General features: G+C 52.2%; 4 protein-coding genes across 16 annotated transcripts in view, besides 2 other annotated features; 2 read left to right on the forward strand and 2 right to left on the reverse strand.

Annotated features, from left to right (window-relative positions):
• Window positions 1–5,522, reverse strand: part of EFTUD2 (elongation factor Tu GTP binding domain containing 2) — a 49,498-nt gene extending 43,976 nt beyond the window's left edge. For 3 of the 5 annotated variants that reach the window (NM_001258354.2, NM_004247.4, XM_047437084.1), the window contains exons 1-2: window positions 5,446–5,522; window positions 494–602 (exon numbers count right to left, since the gene is read on the reverse strand). In NM_001258354.2, coding sequence (NP_001245283.1) covers window positions 494–598 — 105 coding nt within the window. In that variant the 5' untranslated portion in view covers window positions 599–602; window positions 5,446–5,522. Of the gene's footprint in view, window positions 1–493; window positions 603–5,051 lie in introns of all 5 variants that reach the window. The other 2 variants (NM_001258353.2, NM_001142605.2) reach the window with 2 other exon arrangements.
• On the forward strand, window positions 5,806–11,467 carry DNAAF19 (dynein axonemal assembly factor 19). 6 transcript variants are annotated; one of them, NM_001258399.2, is made up of 4 exons: window positions 5,806–5,936; window positions 7,067–7,218; window positions 7,597–7,733; window positions 8,442–11,467. In NM_001258399.2, the coding sequence occupies exons 2-4, from the start codon at window positions 7,076–7,078 to the stop codon at window positions 8,474–8,476; spliced, it is 315 nt and encodes a 104-aa protein (NP_001245328.1). In that variant the 5' UTR covers window positions 5,806–5,936; window positions 7,067–7,075; the 3' UTR covers window positions 8,477–11,467. The 6 variants fall into 6 exon arrangements, with proteins under 6 accessions (NP_001245328.1, NP_001245326.1, NP_998772.1 ...); NM_001258397.3 differs by having other exon boundaries at window positions 7,597–7,729; window positions 8,395–11,467; NM_213607.3 differs by having other exon boundaries at window positions 7,597–7,729.
• Window positions 9,236–21,577, reverse strand: GFAP (glial fibrillary acidic protein). 4 transcript variants are annotated; one of them, NM_001363846.2, is made up of 10 exons: window positions 21,103–21,577; window positions 20,105–20,165; window positions 19,805–19,900; window positions 19,346–19,507; window positions 17,749–17,874; window positions 17,313–17,533; window positions 16,692–16,735; window positions 16,218–16,337; window positions 14,141–14,226; window positions 11,703–13,465 (listed from the first exon to the last, which is right to left on the reverse strand). In NM_001363846.2, the coding sequence occupies exons 1-10, from the start codon at window positions 21,561–21,563 to the stop codon at window positions 13,424–13,426; spliced, it is 1,419 nt and encodes a 472-aa protein (NP_001350775.1). In that variant the 5' UTR covers window positions 21,564–21,577; the 3' UTR covers window positions 11,703–13,423. The 4 variants fall into 4 exon arrangements, with proteins under 4 accessions (NP_002046.1, NP_001350775.1, NP_001124491.1 ...); NM_002055.5 differs by lacking the exon at window positions 16,218–16,337 and having other exon boundaries at window positions 9,236–13,465; NM_001131019.3 differs by lacking the exons at window positions 11,703–13,465; window positions 14,141–14,226 and having other exon boundaries at window positions 15,749–16,337.
• Window positions 9,510–11,467, forward strand: FAM187A (family with sequence similarity 187 member A). Its single transcript, NM_001258400.2, has one exon. It carries the CDS (start codon window positions 9,907–9,909, stop codon window positions 11,146–11,148), a length of 1,242 nt encoding a protein of 413 aa, NP_001245329.1. The 5' UTR covers window positions 9,510–9,906; the 3' UTR covers window positions 11,149–11,467.
• Window positions 17,263–17,372: an enhancer, noted in NCBI's record as "active region_12266". NCBI's record gives its function as "activates an Ori minimal core promoter by ATAC-STARR-seq in GM12878 lymphoblastoid cells {active_cell/tissue: GM12878}" and the evidence as "EXISTENCE:reporter gene assay evidence [ECO:0000049][PMID:35858748]".
• Window positions 17,583–17,652: a silencer, noted in NCBI's record as "silent region_8603". NCBI's record gives its function as "represses an Ori minimal core promoter by ATAC-STARR-seq in GM12878 lymphoblastoid cells {active_cell/tissue: GM12878}" and the evidence as "EXISTENCE:reporter gene assay evidence [ECO:0000049][PMID:35858748]".

Below are 21,701 nucleotides of genomic sequence, written 5' to 3' on the forward strand. Positions count from 1 at the left end.
CCGGGCATGGTGGCACACACCTGTAATCCCAGCTACTCAGGAGGCTGAGGCATTGAGAATTGCTTGGACCTGGGAGGCAGAGGCTGCAGTGAGCCAAGATGGTGCCACTGCGCTCCTGCCTGGGCAACAGGGTGAGACTGTCTCAAAAAAAAAAAAAAGAAAAAAGAGGGGGCTGGGCATGGTGGCTCATGCCTGTAATCCTAGCAGTTTGGGAGGCCAAGGCAGGTGGACTGCTCGAGCTCAGGAGTTCAAGACCAGCCTGGGCAATGTTTCATCTCCACGAAAAATAAAAAAAAATTAGCTGGGCATGGTGGTGCATACCTGTAGTCCCAGCTACTTGGGAGGCCAAGGTGGGAGGATCACTTAAGCCCAGGAGGTGGAGGTTGCAGTGAGCTGAGATTGCGCCACTGCACTCCAACCTGGCAAGAGAGTGAGATCTTGTCTTAAATAAAATAAATAAGAGTGAGATAAAAGAGCAATATATTTGTTTTACCTCATCAAGATCTTTGGTCTCTCTACCCAATTCATCATCATCTTCATCAGAATCAAGCTCTGGTCCAATATAATTCCCAAACTCATCATATAAGTCGGTATCCATGATGCTAAAATTCAAGGAGAGAAGAGTTAGATTCTGACAAGGTAATCAAGGCCTTCATGTGGTGGCTCCACCTGTCTAGTCTTAGTCTTATGGTTGGCCATACCCCTTTCACATGCCTCCTCTCCAGTGACATCAACCTACTGAATGCTCCTCCCAAAGCCCAGTACTTTCCCCAAGTCTCTGCCTTACTTGTCTCTATTTATGTAGTCTTCCCTCCACTTTTCTTGTTTTGGGTTTTAAGGAGCAGAGAGTTGAATAGGCAAGAAGGAAGAAAGAAGACAGAAGGAAGAAGCTCCGCCGTACAGAGATGGGGCGTGGGGGGCGCTCCAAAGCCAAAAGAGGAGGTCCCCCTCCCTCCACTTTTTTAATACTAAATTTAATTTTAAAACAACTCAGTATCAAAAAATGGCAAGAACAGTACAAATAACTTACTTTTTCCTAAATTATTTGAAAGTGAGCTGTTGACACAATGGCTCATCACCTCCTAATACTTTAGTGTAAGGGTGGGCAAACTCTGGCCTGTGGCCAAATCTGGCCCCTCCAGCTGTTTTTACATGGCCCTCAAGCTAAGAATGCTTTTTCACATTTGTAAATTGCCAGGGAAAAAGTCAAAAGAAAAATATTTCATGATACATGAAAATTAATTATAAGGAATTCAAATGTCAGTGTCTATTAAAAAAGTTTCATTGGGAGGCCGGGCGCGGTGGCGCATGCCTGTAATACCAGCACTTTGGGAGGCCAAGGCAGGCAGATGACCTGAGGTCAGGAGTTCGAGACCAGCCTGGCCAACATGGCAAAACGCTGTCTCTACTAAAAATACAAAAATTAGCTGGGTACGGTGGCTCACACCTGTAATCCCAGCTACTCAGGAGGCTGATATAGGAGAATCCCTTGAACCCAGGGGGTGGAGGTTGCAGTGAGGCGAGATGGCACCACTGCACTCCAGCCTGGGAGACAGAACAAGACTCCATCTCAAAAAAAAAAAAAAAAAAAAAGTTTCACTGGAAAACAGCCATGCATATTCATTTGCATCATTTACAGTTGCCTTCACACTGTAATAGCAGAGTTGAATAGTTGAGACTGAAACCATATGGCTCACAAAGCCTAAAATATTATCCAGTCCTTAATAGAAAAAGTTTGCCAACCTCTCCCTCACCATGTGTAATTCCTACAAACAAGAACATTCTCCTACATAACCACAATACAACCATCAAAATCAGAAAATTGATATTCACACATTACTACCACCTTCTTTACAGATCCCATTCAAGTTTCACAGATTGTTCCAATAATACCTTACACACCTAAGGATCCAATCCAGGATCATGTTTGCATTTGGTTGTCATGTCTCTAGTCTCTTTGGATCTACAATCTTCAGTCTTTGGATCTACAATCTTCAGTCTTTCCTTCCAAGGACTGTCATGAAATCCTTAAGGATGTCCCTTGATTTGAGGTTGTCTGATGTTACCTTATGATAATATTCAGGTTATGCGTTTTGGGCAGGAATATCATAGAAGTGATGCTGTGTTCTTCTCAATGCATTTCGTATCAGGTGATACATGATTTCAATTTGCCCCATTAGTGGTAACGTTAACTTTGATCACTTCATTAAGGTGATGTTTGCCAGGCCTCTCCATTGTAAAGTTACTCATTTTCCCTTTGTAATTAAGTAGTGTTTTGTGGGTTTTCTCCACTTCAATTACTGAAATTCTATTCAAAGAAACAGTTCAAATGCCACCACCTCCTTCAAGCTTTCCTAGCTCCTCAATTTCTCATTCCTCTATCCTACTAGAGCTTTTTGCACCTTTATCAGTATTTAATTTTGTCTTAAATAGTAGTTAACTGGCTGGGCACAGTGGCTCATGCCTGTAATCCCAGCACTTTGGCAGGCCAAGATGGGCGGATCATGAGGTCAGGAGATAGAGACCATCCTGGCTAACACAGTGAAACCCCGTCTCTACTAAAAATACAAAAAATTAGCCAGGTGTGGTGGCACACACCTGTAGTCCCAGCTACTCAGCAGGCTGAGGCAGGAGAATCACTTGAATCCAGGAGGCAGAGGTTGCAGTGAGCTGAGATCGCACCACTGCACTTCAGCCTGGCTGACAGAGTGAGACTCCGTCTCGAAAAAAATAAACAAAATAAATAAACAAATAGTAGTTACTAATTACCATCACCAACTATAGTTTATAAGCAATAAATAACAGACTAGAGCATCAGGGCTCTGGAGTTGGAAGACTTAGATTCAAATCCCAACTTTGTCACCAACAACTATGTAACTTGAGGTAAGTTACTTCATCTCTTCCAACCTGATTCCTATTCTTCAACTGGAAAATGGAATGAATAATCCTCACTGAATAAATGGTTATGAGGATTAAATAAAACACCCTGTGTAAAGAATTTACCAGAGTCCAGCTGGGTGCAGTGGCTCACGCCTGTAATCCCAGCACTTTGGGAGGCTGAGGTGGGTGGATCACGAGGTCAGGAGATCGAGACCATCCTGGCTAACACGGTGAAACCCTGTCTCTACTAAAAATACAAAAAATTAGCCAAGTGTGGTGGTGGGCGCCCGTAGTCCCAGCTACTGGGGAGGCTGAGGCAGGAGAATGGTGTGAACCCAGGAGGCGGAGCTTGCAGTGAGCGGAGACAGCGCCACTGCACTCCAGCCTGGGTGACAGAGAGAGACTCCGTCTCAAAAAAAAAAAAAAAAAAAAAGAATTTACCAGAGTCCTAGGCTCAATAAACGTTAGCTAGCATTATTTTTTGCCATCCTTGATCATGAGAACCCTGTGTTCCATGCACCTGCTTCTTCTCTTCACTTCTTTTATGATACTAAATTTAATTTTAAAATAATACCAAAAAGTGGCAAGAACAGTACAAATAACTTTCTTTTCCCCAAATATTTGACAGTATGCTGCTGACACAATGCCTCTTCACCTCCTAATACTTTAGAGCAAGAGTTGACAAACTCTGACCTGTGGCCAAATCTGGCCCCTCCAACTGTTTTTGCATGGTCCTCCAGCTAAGAATGCATTTTACATTTTTATTTTTTTATTTTTTTGAGACGGAGTCCCGCTCTGTTGCCTAGGCTGGAGTGCAGTGGCACGATCTCGACTCACTGCAACCTCCGCCTCACAGGTTCAAGCGATTCTCCTGCCTCAACCTCCCAAGTAGCTGGGATTACAGGCACCCGCCATCACACTTGGCTAATTTTTGTATTTTTAGTAGAGACGGGGTTTCAACCATGTTGGCCAGGCAGTCTCGAACTCTTGACCTCAGGTGATTAGCCCACCTCGGCCTCCCAAAGTGCTGAGATTACAGGTGTGAGCCACCGCACCCGGCCACATTTTACATTTTTAAATAATTGAGAAAAAAGTACCAATGCTAACACAGCCAATAGCCAAGACAGCACCTTGCATAAGTAGGAACTGGATAAATGTTAACTGAATGGGATGTTTAATTTTAAGATGCTGATATTTCTTGGATTAGACTGATACCTCCAACTCCCTCAATGCCACCTGCTGGGTGCTGAATGTAGAGAGAGAATTGGAGCTCCAAGGACCAATAATTAAATGTAAATTATTATGGAAACTTTCACATGCATATTCTTTTTACTTCTAAAAAGCTACTATCGCATTTATGCTTATCTCATTCTCCCAAGACCCCAGTCAAGGGATTGAAGAAATTATTTATTTATTTTATATATATTTTTTGAGACAGAGTTTTGCTCTTGTTGCCCAGGCTGGAGTACAACGGCACGATCTCAGTTCACTGCAACCTCCGCCTCCTGGTTTCAAGCGATTCTCCTGCCTCAGCCTCCCGAGTAGTTGGGACTACAGGAGTGCACCACTACGCCTGGCTAATTTTTTTGTATTCTTAGTAGAGATGGGTTTTCACCATGTTGGCCAGGCTGGTCTCGAACTCCTGACCTCAGGTGATCCGCCCGCGTCTTTCTCCCAAAGTGCTGGGATTACAGGCGTGAGCCACCGCGCCCGGCCGATTGAAGAAACTGTTATAGAAAGCTGTTCATGGAACAAGCCAAGCTCATTTCTGCCTCAGGGCCACTGCACTTGCCTTTCTCTTTGTCCAAAACGCTCTCCCCTTTGATATTTTTCACCTTGTTCCTTTATTTCAATCAAGTCTCCACTAAAATGTCATCTTCTCTGTCACTCTAAAAAGTCCCCCATACATACTCTCCAACTTCCCACTTTCACTGTTTTATTGCTATTCACAAATGTTATACATTTATCACTAGCTGACTTGTATCTAGTTGTTTACTGTTCATTTCCCCAACTACAATTGAAGCAAAGACTTTGTTCACTTAGTACTGTGCCTAGCATAGACTAAGCCCTCAATAAGTATTTACTGAACTAATGAATGACTCTAACAAGGTACACAGAATATAGCTGATTTGCCCACAGTTACACAAAACTAGCGACTCATGGTAACAAACCTCACTGCCGCTTCCCGCTACAATGCAGGAGCTCAGAGGACTTCGGAGGGAACTTGGCAAAGAACGGCTGAAAGCGGCACGGATAGAAGAGGAAGTGAGCGAGGGGACTGGACAGTTAGAGCACCACTCCTACCTAGCGATACGATTTTACGGACTGAGGCTATAGAGGCAGCCCCGAAATCGAGGTGTGTGCGTGTGTGCGCGCTTCGGAAGCCTTGGGAAGGCACGAGGACGACAGGGTCTTCCATTCTTTTTCCCGCTCCAGGCCTCAATTTACCGATCCGTAAAGCGAAAGGGGCCAATAGCATATAAGGCCCCTTCCAGATCTGACGCTTTTTAATTTCCTATCCCACCTGGAGCAACCCTTCCGTGCCGCTGACCCGCTTCAACTTACCTCTCGCCTGCTCAGCTAAGAGTTCCCAGGCCGCTGCCGGAGATCGTGCTTCCGCCCCACGCCGAGGAAACGCCTGCGCCCGCCGCCAGGAAGGACCCCGCAGACGCCGCTGTCGCCTTTCTGCCCGGGAGGACAACCCTCTGCCTGAGGACCAGTTCCGAGGTATGCCCGCCGCGGACTGGCAAGGCGGAGTAGCGGGTCCCCAAGACGAGTAGCCCAAGACGTGGGCTGCTCCAAAGAGGGTGAGAGCTGAGGATGAACGAATCTGATCAGGCGCCTCGGGACCACCCTGAAAATGGGGGGAGGGGCCTTCGGGCAGATCACGTGGTCAGGCTGTTAGCGCAGTTGCTAGGCAACCACAGCTGCGGGCGTGGTCTGCGCGGGGTTGCCCTCCTGTTCTGGTTTATCAGGGGATCCCCAAAGAAAGCAAGGGGACCAAGGCCGGGACTGCTGGGGTGAAGGTCCGGGAGGCTGAGTAAGGGGACGGAAGGGTTAGTTCTATGTATTAAATGCCTGGGGAGGGCTGAGAACTGGACACCTGATTTCGGTTACTGGCCACCCCAGCCCCTTCTTGGCGTTCAGATTCCCTACGTTGGGGTAGGGTGGCTATGGGATTGGTTGGGGACTTCCTGCTTCCTTGCGCTAGGGCTGTTGGTGATGACCCCGCCACAAAATCTAGCTCAACTCACTAGGAGTTTGCAGTTCAGAGAGGTCCCACAAGTAAATGCCAGAGCCACGACTAGAACCCACGTAGAGAATCTCTCTGCAGTGGCTCACGCCTGTAATCCCAGCACTTTGGGAGGCCGAGGCGCGCGGATTACTTGAGGTCAGGATCGAAAATTGCTTGAACCCCGGAGGCAGAGGTTGCAATGAGCCAAGATCGCGCCACTGCACTCCAGCCTGGGCAACAGAGCCAGAAAAAAAAAAAAAGAAAAGAATATCTCTGTAGAAATGATCAGTCAGCCTCAGATATGCAGAAACTACAGAAGTACAGTGATAGAACTAAAGGCATTGCCCAGGTACCTAGGGACCTCTGTTCCAGCCCTGGGCTGGACAGAGGGATTTGGGGATGGGGTCATTGAGCTCCTTCCTTTGCCCCTTCTACTTGATTTCCTGCTCAGTCATTGCATCTGGTTTGGGTGAAAGTCTCCTTCCTCATTAAAGACATTCAATGAAGAATGAAACTTTATCCCCGAGCTCAAGGGTAACTAACAAGAGTTCTGCCTTTGTGTGAGGTCCCCTGTCGAAACGACTTGCTGTAGAACAATCCTATGGGGGAAGAGTGAAGAAACTGAATTCTGAGATCCCAATGCCTCCTCGACTGAAGCACCAAAATTAAAAATATTTTTAGAGGCAAAGAGCAAAATTAAGACAGAACTCCAAATTGAAAGTCAGGACTCTGTATTCTATTTTCAGGGACAAGTCTTGTGTAAGTCCTCACTGTGAAATTCAACTTGTCTTTGTAAAATAGAAAACCAGATTTTTGTAACACCTCCCAATCTGAGTGACATGATGTCCAGAGTGCTTTGGGGTCATTTTGTGTTCTGGTGAATAATTCAGAGGTACCCTCTTTCCCCTGATATTGACTGTCCACTGACATGTATTCCCTTTGCCTTCCCAGGCACAGGCCATGGAAAGGAATGACATCATCAACTTCAAGGCTTTGGAGAAAGAGCTGCAGGCTGCACTCACTGCTGATGAGAAGTACAAACGGGAGAATGCTGCCAAGTTACGGGCAGTGGAACAGAGGGTGGCTTCCTATGAGGAGTTCAGGTTGGCTCACTGCCATTTTTCTCAGGCCCTCCTGTTATGGTGGATTATAGTAGTTAACTCTGAAATCAAACCATTCTGGGCTTCAGTCCTGGCCCCACCGTCTACTGTTTGATCTTATGCAATTTCCTTAACTTCTCTGAGTCTCAATTATTTATCTGTAGAACAGTAACTGTTATAATTAAATGAGTTCTTGCACATAAGACTGAGCAAGTGTCTGACACATGTGAGGTGCTTGAAAGCAGTCAGCTATCGCTGTTGTTATTATTATGGTCATATTGGTCCGTAACAGGTTTATCCTATACCATGCAAAGTCTAGCTGCCTCACACCCACAGACACAGCATTAAGTCCATTGCCTAATTTCTGTCCTTTGCCTACAGGGGTATTGTCCTTGCATCACATCTGAAGCCACTGGAGCGGAAGGATAAGATGGGAGGAAAGAGAACTGTGCCCTGGAACTGTCACACTATTCAGGGAAGGACCTTCCAGGATGTGGCCACTGAAATCTCCCCGGTAGGTGAGGCCCTGCCCCTTTAGTCCAGCAGGATTCTCTGCCCTAAAGCTTCAATCCTGTTTTTTCATTTTGTTTTGTTTTGTTTTGTTTTTTTAACCACACATACCTCTTCTTTATTTGTCATGTTAAACCAACAGAGATAGGTTTCTGCCTCCAATCCCAGAAAGAAAAACAAACAGCAGATGGCAAAGCTGAGTTGAAGTGGGCAGAATGAGTCAGAAAGTTGGGCTAGGAAGGTCGGCTTCCCTTAGTCCTTTGACTTTCATTCTCAGATCAGAATTGGGATGCTCTGCCTCTGGGTTGTATGGTGTCTAGTGTAATGATCCTGTGGCAGTGTTGAGAGAGAGACCCCAACATTCAGATCCTTGAGTTCCTTTCTCTCTTCCTGAGATTTCCAATCAACCCATCCACCCGACTTACAGTAAACCCTGACTTACTCTTGAAGACCAGAGCTATGTCTCCATTCATGAGTAGGAAAATTCCAGTATAAATGAGAATCTCAAATCATGGCGTGGATTCCTTGGGGCCCTCCCTGTTTCATCCCCAGTTTCCTCATCTGAAAATGAGGCCGCCAAGGACCACAGCTTTCCCAGTGCTCAGACAGTAGTGAGATGAAGACAGTAAGATGAAGAGCTACAGGCTCCCCTCCCTGTCACTGTTGCAGAACAGCTGGAAGAGCTCCTGACTCCCTTTCCTTCCTTTGTGGTCCAGGAGAAAGCCCCCCTCCAGCCCGAGACGTCTGCTGACTTCTATCGTGATTGGCGACGACACTTGCCAAGTGGGCCAGAGCGCTACCAGGCTCTACTGCAGCTTGGGGGTCCAAGGCTCGGCTGCCTCTTCCAGACAGATGTGGGATTTGGACTTCTTGGGGAGCTGCTGGTGGCACTGGCTGATCACGTGGGGCCGGCTGACCGGGCAGCGGTGCTGGGGATCCTATGCAGCCTGGCGAGCACTGGGCGCTTCACCCTGAACCTAAGCCTGCTGAGCCGGGCAGAGAGAGAGAGCTGCAAGGGCTTGTTTCAGAAGCTGCAAGCCATGGGCAACCCCAGATCCGTGAAGGAGGGGCTCAGCTGGGAGGAGCAGGGTCTGGAGGAGCAGTCTGGTGGGCTCCAGGAGGAGGAGAGGCTCCTGCAGGAGCTGCTGGAGCTGTACCAGGTTGACTGATGCGGCAAGCTACCCTCAGAGGTCCCAGTGGTCACTGGAGGCAGTTTTTTGGTTGTTGTCTTGGGGGTTCTGCAGGACCATAATAAGAAACCCACACCTGGTTCCCTTCTCAACTTGGAATTTTCAGAGCAAAAACAGGAATCAAGTCTTCCCCACTTCTCCAGTCCCTCAGTGTCTCGCTGTTTTGAACTGTGTGTATCCATGGACAGTCAAGAGCTCAGGAAGTTGAGAGCGGTTTTGTTTCCCACCCTTAGAGTCTGCCAAGCCTCTAGCCCACTGGCCTTGAGAGATGAGTGTGTGCCCAACCAAATGCTGGCTATACCAGTTACAGCCTCCACTCATAAAAGGGAAAAAGCAAAATCTTTATGGTAAACAAACACTGATCTCCACAGCTCTTAACAAGAATGTTTATAGCCCCAAACCAATGAATGGACATGTAATCAACAAATGATCAAATACTACATCATTTGAGGTGTTGAATTTTCCCCTAGAGACTCAGTTCTTGTGCAGGTTGGGCCTGGGAAAGTCCCAAGCCATCAGCTCAGGTCCAGCCAGCCTCCCGGATGGCCAGATATGCAGGAGGGTGGGTTTCCTTCATCCCCCAGGTTGATGAAAGACTTTTCCACCAGGCTGGCAGGGCAGGGCCTGGAGCACTGAGGCAGAGATCTCCCTGCCCGAGCACCTCGGCCCGCCCTTCTCATTCCGGTTTCCTTTGACCCATTCTTGGGTGAGCGCCAGTGTTCTAGAAAGGGGAGTAAAGGCCAGGTTCTAGAATGGCTTTCCCCCCCCACCCTGAGATCAGGTCTGGAATGTTAGAAGGGCATCTTGTACATCCACTGGGAATAAATTGCCTTGCACTTGGCGGCTTCCTCTGCAGATTGTTGCTGCTTTTCCTGGCTGCATAATCCTTTCCTCATCTAGAGGCTTCCGCTTAGCAGAGCTTTCTAGGAGCCCTATGAGCCTTTAATGCCCTGGTTTTGCCCTGCCCCTCTGACCCCTGCCTCCTTCAGGTATGCACCTGGCCCTCACCACTGTGCTCCTGTGGGCATGGGGGCTCCAGGCCTTTGAAATTGTGGAGAAGGAAAACATTTTTCAGAGGACCCCCTGCCCTGCTTTCCTGATGTTTGAAAATGCAGCCTACCTGGCCGACATGAGCTTTGAGCTTCCCTGTCACTGCAAACCCGAAGAGGTGCCAGCTGTAGTCTGGTTCTACCAAAAGCACCTAGGTAGCAGCCACACCAAAGTGCTGACGGACTTTGATGGGCGGGTGCTGACGGAGGCAGCCCAGGTACGTGTGGGCAGCGACATGCTGACCCGCTTCAGCATCCGCATGTTCAGCTTGTTGGTTTTCAGGGCTCAGTCTGAGGACTCAGGCCTGTACTTCTGCGGCACCCGCAAGGGGGACTACTTTTACGCCTACGATGTGGACATCCAGAACAGTGAGGGAATGGTGGCCACTTTCCAGGACAAGGGCCAGGAGCCCTTTGCAGATGAATACTATGGGCACCTCCATGTCTTCACCACCTTCTGGGAATGGACCCCCTGTGACCGCTGCGGAGTGCGTGGGGAGCAGTGGCGCATCGGCCTCTGCTACCTGCAGAGCCCAGACCTCTCCCCACGCTACCTCAAGGCCGTGCCCGATGTGGTGTCTTGTGGCTCAAGGGCTGTGCCAAGGAAGCTGCGGACCAAGGCCAGGGACCACACGCCTGAGGTGCTGGTTCGGAGCTGCTTAGTACCCTGTGAGAAGACAAAGACCATCCGGGAGGGCGTGCTGGCCATCATTAACTATGTGTCCAAAGTGGGCAGCCGGCCCTGGGTGCCCCAGGTGCCCATTCAGTTCCACCAGCAGAGACTGGGCCATGGACTCATCATCTCCTGTCCTGGGGCCCGGCCAGAGCATGCAGTGGCCTGGGACAAAGACCGCCAGCACCTCTACCGCACACAGTACCTGAAGGGTGTCAACAGGTCCATGAGGGTGTTCATTGACCACGGCAACCAGCTCCACATCCGCTTCACCCAGCTGGATGACCGGGGCATCTACTATTGCTGGAGGCAGGGTGTGCTAGTTGCTGGCTTCCGGCTGGGTGTGACATCTCATGGGCACTACCCAGCCTCGTTCTCAGATCCTGAGACTCGCTCGGCTGTGGAGCTCACCCTGATAGGCTACCTGCTCATCACAGCAGTCTTTGTCACCATTCACTTCTGTCGTTGCTGCTGCTACTTATTTCACTGTTGTCCCAGCTTCTCCCCCTAGGAGCTCTCTTCAGCTCTGAAGACCAGTTGTCCTTCAATGTGTTTGTTAAATGATACCAGATGTCTCTGGGTGGGTACCCTGGGTTGGGACAGGTGGTAGGAACATGTGGACAAATCTGTTACAGCCTGCTCCCCATTTTCATGGGCAGGTCTGGGACCTGATCTGAGAAGTGGAGGGGCCTGAGGCTGGTGGGAGATTGGGGACTGAGCTCAGGATGGAAGTAGGGCACATGTGTTTCCTGACTTCACATTTAGGTCAGAGAAGGAAAGTGTGAACTCAGATTTATCCAGTGGTAAACACTGATCAGTGTTGAATCATGTTTGAGCTGCTTTGCTTTCTTGCCTATGAAGATTGTGCTGGTTGAGTTGCAGGTAGCAGGGAGAGGAAGGAAGAAAAGAGTGGAGGGAGCTGGTGTATGTCCTCTTTGGCTGCGGGTGGAATTTGGTGAGGGCATGGGCCCCAGAGATGATCAGTAATAAGAAATGAGTTGGTCTTGTCAAAGGCTACATCTTGGCCCCAGTCCCGCCCTCTCATGAACAGATCAGAGTCCACTCTGGGGAAGGGCGCAGCATTTGTCTTTATTTTTCCTCAGCGACTAAAGGCAGCAGCAGTGCCCTGAAGATTAGCAGCAGCAGCAGCAGCAGGTGGCAGGAAGGAGTGGAGGGAAAGGACACCAAGTCTTGGGGAGAGGGAAGGACCCTTCTTCGGCCTTAGAGGGGAGAGGAGAACCCTGAAGTGGGCCCTCCCAGTCCCATCTCTGGGCACAGATCCCACCAGTCTGCTCACCAGTCTGCTCAGTCAAAGCAGAGTGGGTGCACTGGGGTGGACGTGTCAGCCCTGAGCACCCGGCCTCCAGGCTGCAGGAATATGAGCCAGTGTCTTCACTTTGCTCGTGCCTCAGTTTTACAATTGTAAAATAGGGCACTACCTAGAATACTGGGTACATTTTGTGTGTGAGTAAGAAGGGACCGCAAGAGGCCCTTGGCTTAGGGAAAAGCAGCCGGTCACTATGGGGTGGAGAGGGTCAGACGTGTGGCAGTGGCTTACTGGGGTTAAGAAGCAGCAGTCCCAGGGGCTCAGAGGCTGGGGCGGCCTGGTATGACACAGCAAGGAAGAGGCCTTTAGAAATGGGACAAAGTCATGCCCTGCCCCCATGGATACATCCCCTTTCTCTCCTGTTTCAGCATCTTCAAGAGGATGAGTCACTTCCTTAATTCCCACAATCCAGAGGCCAAGTGCAACTGGTCACCCACAACCCCTACTTGTATGCCTAGCGCCATCCCAATTGCCTCCTCCTCCATCTCTACCAGCGTCCCCTCCAGTCTGCACGGGGCAGTCCTCCTGGGCTTGACCTCTCTGTACCCACAGCTGGGGGCCAGGCAGCCCCCCTCTATCCCTCCCAGCACCTCATCCCTCTCCACGTACACAACAGATCCCCCAAGTGCTGAGAATCAAGCTCCCACCTGCCCACAGCGTGCCCACAGATGGCATCCCTGGATGGCAGCTCAGGTGGACTGAGACACTTGAGTCATCGCTCAGGAGGTCCTTCTGGGATCTGGGCAGGTGACTGCCCCAGGTGGCAGGACGTCCCCACCCATCTTAGACTGATCAGGGTCAGTCTAGGAGAACAACCCTCTGAGCTGGGCATGGTGGCTCCAATCTATAATCCCAGCTACACAGGAGGCTGAGGTGGGTAGACTGCTTGAGCCCAGGAGTTCAAGGTCAGCCTAGGCAGCATAGGGATATCCCACCTCATAAAAACCAAAAGACAAAACAAGCCTCTGGCCAGGGCTACCTTGTCTGTGGGGCCTTCCCTTTCCTGTCTGAGTCTCAGTTTTCCTCCAGCAGCCTGAGGAAACTCAAAGGCACAGTTCCCAGATACTCCGAGAGAACCTCCATCTCTGGCAACAGTTTCCATAACAACAGGAATCAGGGATGTGGAGGGCGATGTAGTAGGTGCCCCCCGCCCTCCTCCCCTTCTCTCCTTCCTCCTCATTCTAACGCAAGCTGCTGGCCATGCCCCTCCAGACTGCCCCTTGGGGGTGAGTTTCTTGTTAGTTGGAGTTGCTGGGTGCTGGGTGGGTGCCGTCTGGCAGGCCTGATACTGACGGAGCCTAGGGCAGCAAGCTGACCTAGGGACAGAGGAGGGAGGGGAGCAGCTGGGGTGGTGGGGAGCTCAGGTCTGGGGAAATGTGCCAGCAGAGGCGGAGCAACTATCCTGCTTCTGCTCGGGCCCCTCATGAGACGGGGCAGAGGCCACCAGGTGGGTCCTGCCTCACATCACATCCTTGTGCTCCTGCTTGGACTCCTTAATGACCTGCAGGGGACAGGGAACGTGCACAGTGCAACAGTTAGGAGTTCACACAGACCCCAGGTCCACCACCACGAGGCTGTGTAACCTTGGGAAGTCCCCGACTTCCCAGGTCTTACTTTTCTTGATAGTAACCACAGCTGCCTTGCGTGGTGGACAGAGGGGGTGGTGAGATAACACTGGGAAAGCATTTAGCGTCATGCCTGGCGAGTGGTAAGCTGCTGGAGTAAGATGAGCTCCCACTGTGGTTGGAGTGGCGTGGCGGATACGCCAAATCCCCTCTTCCCATTCCCCTGGTAGTTTCCTTTTACCAAGCTGGAAATGGAAAGCCCTCCCCATCCCCAACTGTGTCTGCTAGAGTTGGAAGTGAAAGCTACTAACTTTAATTCTCTTTCTCTCCCTGGCAAGCAAGGCCCCCGAGTTTGAGGGTGAGAAAGAGAGAGTGTGTATTAGGATCCCATCTAGTGGCTTTGGTACCAAGGCTCCCCTTAGAACAGCCTATGGAGGGACTGAGGAAACGGAATTACATTCAGTTTCCTTGCTCTCCTCCAGAATTCCCTGGGGAGCTACTGGGAGTTGCTGGGAACCTTCTATGTGCCAGCCCCAGGCTTTCCTCCATGGCCTGGCCTTGAGAATCCCTGGGGCCAGCCAGAGCCTGACTGGGCCCAAATCCCTCCTTACCTCTCCATCCCGCATCTCCACGGTCTTCACCACGATGTTCCTCTTGAGGTGGCCTTCTGACACAGACTTGGTGTCCAGGCTGGTTTCTGCAGATGTGGGGAGAGGAGGCCTCTCATGGACTTTCAGGGCATGAGCCATCCTCTCCCATGCCCGGCTTCCCCATCGCACCCCCCTCCCCATCATGAGTATGAGAACCTATGCAACCGAGCAGAGAGAGCCTAGGCTCTTCCAAACGGGCTGGAGAGCCCCCAAATCCCAATAGTGCTGCTGCCAGAGTCCTGGCTGCTCTGTCTTCTGGCCTGGCTTCATTTCAGCCCCTCTGCAAGCCCTGGCCTGGCACCTGGCTTTCTGAAAACCCAGCACGGTATTGAAATCAGGAGACCAGGAGGGGTGCGGTGGCTCACACCTATAATGCCATCATTTTGGGAGGCTGAGGCAGGTGGATCACCTGACGCCAGGAGTTCGAGACCAGCCTGGCCAACATAGTGAAACCTCTACTAAAAATACAAAAAATAGGCCAGGCATGGTGGCTCACACCTGTAATCCCAGCACTTTGGGAGGCCGAGGCAGGTGGATCGCCTGAGGTCAGGAGTTTGAGACCAGCCTGACTAATATGGTGAAACCCTGTCTCTACTAAAAATACAAAAATTAGTCAGGCATGGTGACAGGTGCCTGTAGTCCCAGCTACTCAGGAGGCTGAGAGAGGAGAATCACTTGAACCTGGGAGGCGGAGGTTGCAGTAAGCTGCGATCGTGCCACTGCACTCCAGCCTGAGCAACAGAGTAAGACTCCGTCGAAAGCAGGCAAGCAAGCAAGCAAGCAAGCAGGAAAGAGAAAGGAAGGAAGGAAGGAAGGAAGGAAGAAAGAAAGAAAGAAAGAAAAAGAAAGATTAGCCAGGTGTGGTGGCTCGCACCTGTAATCCCCTTACTCGGGAGTCTGAGGCACGAGAATTGCTTGAACCTGGGAGGTGGAGGTTGCAGTGAGCCAAGATTGCACTACTGCATTCCAGCCTGAGTGACAGAGGGACGCTCTGCCGAAGGAAGGAAGGAAAGAAGGAAGGAAGGAAGAAAAGAAGGAAGGAAGGAAGGAAGGATCAGGAGACCAGAGCTCAAGAAGTCCCAACTTAGCCACCAACCAGCCACATGACTCTGGGCAAGTTAATTGACCTCTCCCAGCCTCAGTTTCCTCATCTGTAAAATAAGGATGATGGGGCCTACTTCTCTAGGTGGGAGAGAGGAGACAATTAACTAAAATAAAGGCTGTTAAACATGTGGCACATATTAGTGCTCAATACACATAGGTCCCTTTCCTGTCCCCTTTCCTCTTTCCTACTTCTCTCTGCCATTTATCTGTGCTTTAGTGACCTGTGACTATCTAGGATTTGGCAGTATTACCTCTACTAGTCAGCCTGGTTAGCCTTTCTGATGCTGAATTAAGTCCTGAGACATGCATATCTAGTGGTCCTAAATATTCTAGTCCAGAAGAAGAGGAATTTTGTTCCTTAGCTAAGAATCATTTCAGGGCCAATGCAAGTAAAAAGTAATTTAGCTCCCCCCTCCCCCCGCCCCGCCCGAGAGAGAAAAATATAACACGTCACATTCACTAATATTTAACATTAAGAGCAGGGAACATAAAACTTTATTCACTGCAAGAGCTGCGGTCCTGAGGGAAGAATCCTCTGAACTGAGTCAGCACTGAGCTGAGCGATGGAGCCTCAGGGATGAAAGAATAAAGCAGAGAGCCTGGCGTCCAGGCACAGCGAGACCCAAGGGGCCCTCCCAGTGACAGGAAGAGGTGAGACAGAGGCTGCTGCTTGCTCAGAGGCCCCAGAGCAGCTCCACTGCGCACCCAAGGACTCACCACCTTTACCACTAACAAGCTCTGCCAGTTTAATGTACAGTTACTCTGTACCACGTCCTGGGCTGGGCACTGCAGTTCCTGGGAAAATGACGCAGTCCAGGCCCTTTAGGGGAAGCCTGGGAAGAGGGAACTCAGGGGGATTGGGAGGATGGGGTGGGTGAGGCTCACTCCCTGTCAAGCTGGGCAAAGCGCCGTGTCTGAGAGGCAGGCAGCTAACCGCGAGCCGGCGGCGTTCCATTTACAATCTGGTGAGCCTGTATTGGTATAACTCGTATTGTGAGGCTTTTGAGATATCTTGTGACCTTGTGATTTTCCCCGTCTTTGGTGCTTTTGCCCCCTGTAGTGACAAGCAGTTAAAAAAACAAAAACAGAAAACACTCAGAAGGGCAGTGCTTGCTCAGGGATCTGCAGACAGGGCAGATGTCAAGCTCTCACCCAGTTCTGCTGTCGAATGGGGTGCAGGGAGGGGAAGAGGGACCAGGGCCTAGCAGGACAGGGGCAGCTGCAAGCCCCACCTAGAAGTACCCTGGTATGATAGGCTCTGGCTAGGAGCGCTGCAGTGTCACGAAGGCCCCCAGGGAGAGCTGGATCCCTTTGCCCTGATCCTCAGTCCCAGTCTGGAGCAACCTACAGGCCCTGGAGGAGGGGGCAGGACTCCAGTGCCCTTCCCACGAGGCCCTGCTGTACTGACCTCGAATCTGCAGGTTGGAGAAGGTCTGCACGGGAATGGTGATCCTGAAAGAAAGCAGAGGGAGAGGGCTGCCCGGGCTGCCTGGGACACCCCTAGGCTGGGTCTTGGTGCGGGGCCATCATGACAACTTGAACGCCCTTTTCCTTGCCAGGAAAGTCTAACTCCATCTCCTAGCTTTTTCCCCAGCAGCCAACGTGCTATCTGGAGTTCCAAACGTCTGCAAGGGGCTTGAGTGTTATCTGGGAGGGGCGCATGTCTATCTGAAGGAAGATGGAAAAGGGAGGGGAAAGTGGTGAAGAAAGTTCCAAGGAGGCAGAAGAGATGGGTGAGGTGAGGAGTCCAATCTTGGCTGGGAAGATGGGGAGTATGCCTCTTAGTTTGGAGGGTGACCCAAGTCCTTGGCCTTGAGGCCTAATCAATATTGGTTGAATCCATCCATCCATTCAGTCATCAAACATCTAGTGACTGCCTGCTATGTGTGAGGCAGGCACTGTGCTGGGCATTGAGGTGGGAAGGGATCTGCACACAAGGCTGAAAAAGACTCAGTCCCTGAAGGGAGCAAGATGAGCTCTACCGTGAGGCAGCAGGGAGACTTCCCCAGGGGCTGTGATGAGGGCTCACCGGTTCTCCTCGCCCTCTAGCAGCTTCCTGTAGGTGGCGATCTCGATGTCCAGGGCCAGCTTGACATTGAGCAGGTCCTGGTACTCCTGCAAGTGGCGGGCCATCTCGTCCTTGAGGCTCTGCCCCTCTTCCTCCAGCCGCGCCAGCGCCTCCTGATAACTGGCCGCCTCCCGCACGTGCCGCTCCTCCTGCTCGCGCATCTGCCTCTCCAGGGACTCGTTCTGTGGGATGGAGCCGGCCGGTCCCGCGGAGCCCCGACCCGACTTGGGGAGGTTTCGAGGCCCGGCCCCCGGCCCCAGGCCCCGCCTCTAGCCCGGGGGTAACGTTCAGGCCCCGCCCTCGACCCAGGTCCTCGTCCCTGGCCCTTCTCCCCTGGCATCTCCTGGGGTGGCCGTCCCTGCTCCGCCCGTCCCCGTCCTGCCCTGGCCGCGCTCACCGTGCCGCGCAGAGACTCCAGGTCGCAGGTCAAGGACTGCAACTGGCGCCGGTAGTCGTTGGCTTCGTGCTTGGCCTGGCGGAGCAGCTCCGCGTTGCGGGCAGCAGCGTCTGTCAGGTCTGCAAACTAGGTGGGGGACACATATGGGGGGCTGTGTGGGCCCATGGGCAGGCACGGGCTCTGGGAAATCAGGGAGGTGAGCAGCACCCCAGTTAACCCCAGGACGTTGGCCCTGGCTGGGACTTTTCCCAACAACTGTGACCCATGGATGCGGGCAGGGTAGCGGGCTGCCAGACCTCAGCACCTAGCACAACACCTGGTCAGCAAGCGAATGAATGAACAGTGCCACAGAATCCAGAACCTTCCACACTGACAGCTGCATCTGCGGGACTGAACGCTGTCGTCTTAGGCGAGCGGAGGCCTGGGTGTTTTGTGTGTTTTTGTTTTTTTGTTTTTTTTGTTTTATTTTGAGACAGAGTCTTGCTCTTGTCGCCCAGGTTGGAAGTCAGTGGCACAATCCCGGGTCACTGCAACCTCTGCCTCCCAGGTTCAAGCAATTCTCCTGCCCCAGCCACCTGAGTAGCTGGGATTACAGGCATGCGCCACTACACCCGGCTGATTTTGTATTTTTAGTAGAGACGGGGTTTCACCATGTTGACCAGGCTAGTCTTGAACTGCTGACCTCAGGTGATCCGCATGCCTCGGCCTCCCAAAGTGCTGGGATTACAGGTGTGAGCCACCTCGCCTGGCCTCACCCTGGGTTCTAATAGCCCTTTCTCCCCTGCCTGCAGGGAGGTCCTCCCAGCCCCATCGGGCCCTCACCCTGCTCAGACACCAGTGGCTTCTGCCACTCACACTCCTCAGCTAGGTGCCCTGGCTAGGCTAGCATCTTGGGGCCCTGCCTCTCTGTGCTTTTCTGCCTCCAGGCTCTGTCCTCCACTAGGAATGGCCCTCCCTTCTTCTCTTCCTGTCCACAGCGTGCCTGTCCTGCCTAGCCCAAATGCCCCCTCTACAGTGTCTTTCCTGGCTCCCACACTACATATAAGCTCTGAGCTGTGGTGTTCTCTACGGGCACTATGTTTGGGTGCACGTCAATATCACACCTTCCAGGTCAGACACCTCTCTGTGTCCTGGGGGGTGCCTGGCATATGGTAGAGGCTCAGTAACCCAAAACAGACTGGCAGAGGCATGGAATGCAGGCTCCCAAGTGAGATGTGCTAGAGTTGGAAATCCAACTCTACCACTTAGGAGCTGTGTGACTTTGAGCAAATTAGTTAACCTCTCTGGACTTCGGCTCTCTCATCTGTCAAAGAACAGCACCTACTTCATAGTAAGGTAATCCATGAAAAGCACAGGGCTTAGAACAGAACAGTATCAGCTACTACTAATAATAGCAATAGTAGCAGTAATAATAATGGGTACTTTTGAAAGCAATAGTGCCTGTGTGACCCTGGGCAAGCCATCTCACTTCTCTGGTGAAAGTCAGTCACCTGGAGAGGATATTCTCCCAGCTTCCTCCACCCTCCTTCCCCCATTCTCTTGTACAGAGCAAGAAGGGCTGCCTGGAGGAGGCAGGCTGGCCCACAGGCAGGGCTACCTTGGAGCGGTACCACTCTTCGGCTTCATGCATGTTGCTGGACGCCATTGCCTCATACTGCGTGCGGATCTCTTTCAGGGCTGCGGTGAGGTCTGGCTTGGCCACGTCAAGCTCCACATGGACCTGCTGTCGGGCCAGCTGCTCCTGGAGTTCCCGAACCTCCTGACCAGGGTGAGAGAAGCGGTACCAGGGCTCAGGGTACAGGCCACAGCTGGGGTTCCCCACGCCATTGTGTCCTCTTCTGCCTGCCCCTCGGCCAGGAGTTCGAATGCTCTCTTGTCTCTTTCCGTCTCCCTTAGTGTCTTTCTGTTTGTCTTTCATTTCCTGTCTCTACCTGCCAATCTCTGTTTCTCTCCTCTCTCTGAGTGTCTCTCTCAGTCTCAGCTTCTCTGTCTCTGTCTCTCCCTCTCTCAGTTGCAATCTCTGTGTTGAGCTTTCCTCCCTCTGCCCTGGCCTCACCTCCTCGTGGATCTTCCTCAAGAACCGGATCTCCTCCTCCAGCGACTCAATCTTCCTCTCCAGATCCAGACGGGCCAGGGTGGCTTCATCTGCTTCCTGGAGTGGCAGGAGGGGTGAGGAGTAGAGGGCCACTGGGGCCCCAGGCTCCTTCTCCCCATTCCTCAGCCTTGCCTTACCCCTCCTTCTGGGGCAGTGGGGAGCAGCACATTGCTCTGGCGGGCTGAGCTTGGGGGCTGTGTTTGGGTGGGTGGCCATCAATCCTTTCCTCCCTCCCCTGCCCCTCCCCTCCACCTCCCTGACCTGTCTATAGGCAGCCAGGTTGTTCTCGGCTTCCAGCCTCAGGTTGGTTTCATCCTGGAGCCTGGAGTGGGGGGACACATTCCTGGGTCCAGGCTCTTCTGAGGACACTTGAATACCTGCCTCAGTCTCCCTTGAGGCAGCTGTCACAGAGACCACCCCCACCCAGGACCAGTAGAGCAGCAGGAGGATTAAGGGTTGGGGGGCCTTAGACAGAGGACTTGTCTGGAGGATGAGCAGATGTGGGCTTTTGCCTTAACTCATTACTAAGGTGCCTTATCAGGGTTGGTGCACCTGCTTCTGCTCACACAGGCGCATCCACAAGCATACACTCACTGTTGCACACACACACACACACACGCACATGTCCTCCTGCACTTGAAGGCACACATGCATGTCCTGTCAGCTCAGTGAAGCGCCATGCCCCTGGGGATTCCTCTGATCCCAGGTAACCACCTTTTGAAATGAATTTTATTATGACCACCGCTTCACAGCTGTGCAAGTCAAAGTAACTTGATGGGGGTCACAAGCTGGTGGCAGGCAGTCACCTGTGCTTTGCGCCCAGACCTGCCTGCTCTTTCCCTCACTTTCTTCACCCCAGAATCCAATCTCCCTCATGGACATCAACCTTCTCCGCTTCCAACTCCTCCTTTATATGGACACAGGCTCAGAATAGGTGAGCTCGCTGCCCACAGTCACAAAGCCCAGCCATGAATGAAACACAGGGGCCCCGCTGCTCCTGCACTGCTTTCCCCAGTAGGGAGGTGCTGAGGGGACCCTGGACTCCTGGCAGAAGGCATGCGGGCATCAGATCCCCGGGGCCCTGGGCCTGTTTCTGGTCCCTCCCATCATGTTGGGGGGCAAGGATAGTGCCCCATCAAGAGGTAGGGAGGCCCAGGGAGCAGGGAGGTTCGGCCCCTCCCTGAGACTTCTCGGGCACTCCTTCTTGGGGATTCAGCCCCTTCTGCTCACAAGGCCCCCCTTCCCCATCCCCTCCTCACTTCTGCCTCACAGTGGCCAGGTCCTGTGCCAGATTGTCCCTCTCAACCTCCAGCCGGGCGCTGTTGGCGGTGAGTTGATCGAGCCGCAGCCGCAGCTCTCGCAGCTCAGCCTGGTAGACGTCTGCCAGCTTGGTGGGCTCCTTGGCCCGCAGCTGGTTCAGCTCAGCAGCCAGCGCCTTGTTTTGCTGTTCCAGGAAGCGAACCTTCTCGATGTAGCTGGCAAAGCGGTCATTGAGCTCCATCATCTCTGCCCGCTCACTGGCCCGGGTCTCCTTGAAGCCAGCATTGAGTGCCCCAGCCAGGGAGAAATCCACCCGGGTCGGGAGTGGAGGGGGCATTCGAGCCAGGGAGAGGCGGGTGCCAGGACCCAGACGGCGGCCAGGAGCCAGGCCCCCCACCATCATCTCCCCTGAGGAGACGTAGGAGCGGCGAGCAGCGGAGGTGATGCGTCTCCTCTCCATCCTGCTCTGGCTCTGCTCGCTCCTGGGATGCGAGGGCTTTATGAAGGAGTGGGCTAGACTGGCGATGCCCGGGTGCCCCTGGCAACACCCCCTGGCATAGCCTGAGGGGGTGGGGTTGGGCCGCAGCCCAGCTATGGG

Source organism: Homo sapiens, chromosome 17, assembly GCF_000001405.40.
Source record: "Homo sapiens chromosome 17, GRCh38.p14 Primary Assembly".
NCBI lineage: Eukaryota > Metazoa > Chordata > Mammalia > Primates > Hominidae > Homo > Homo sapiens.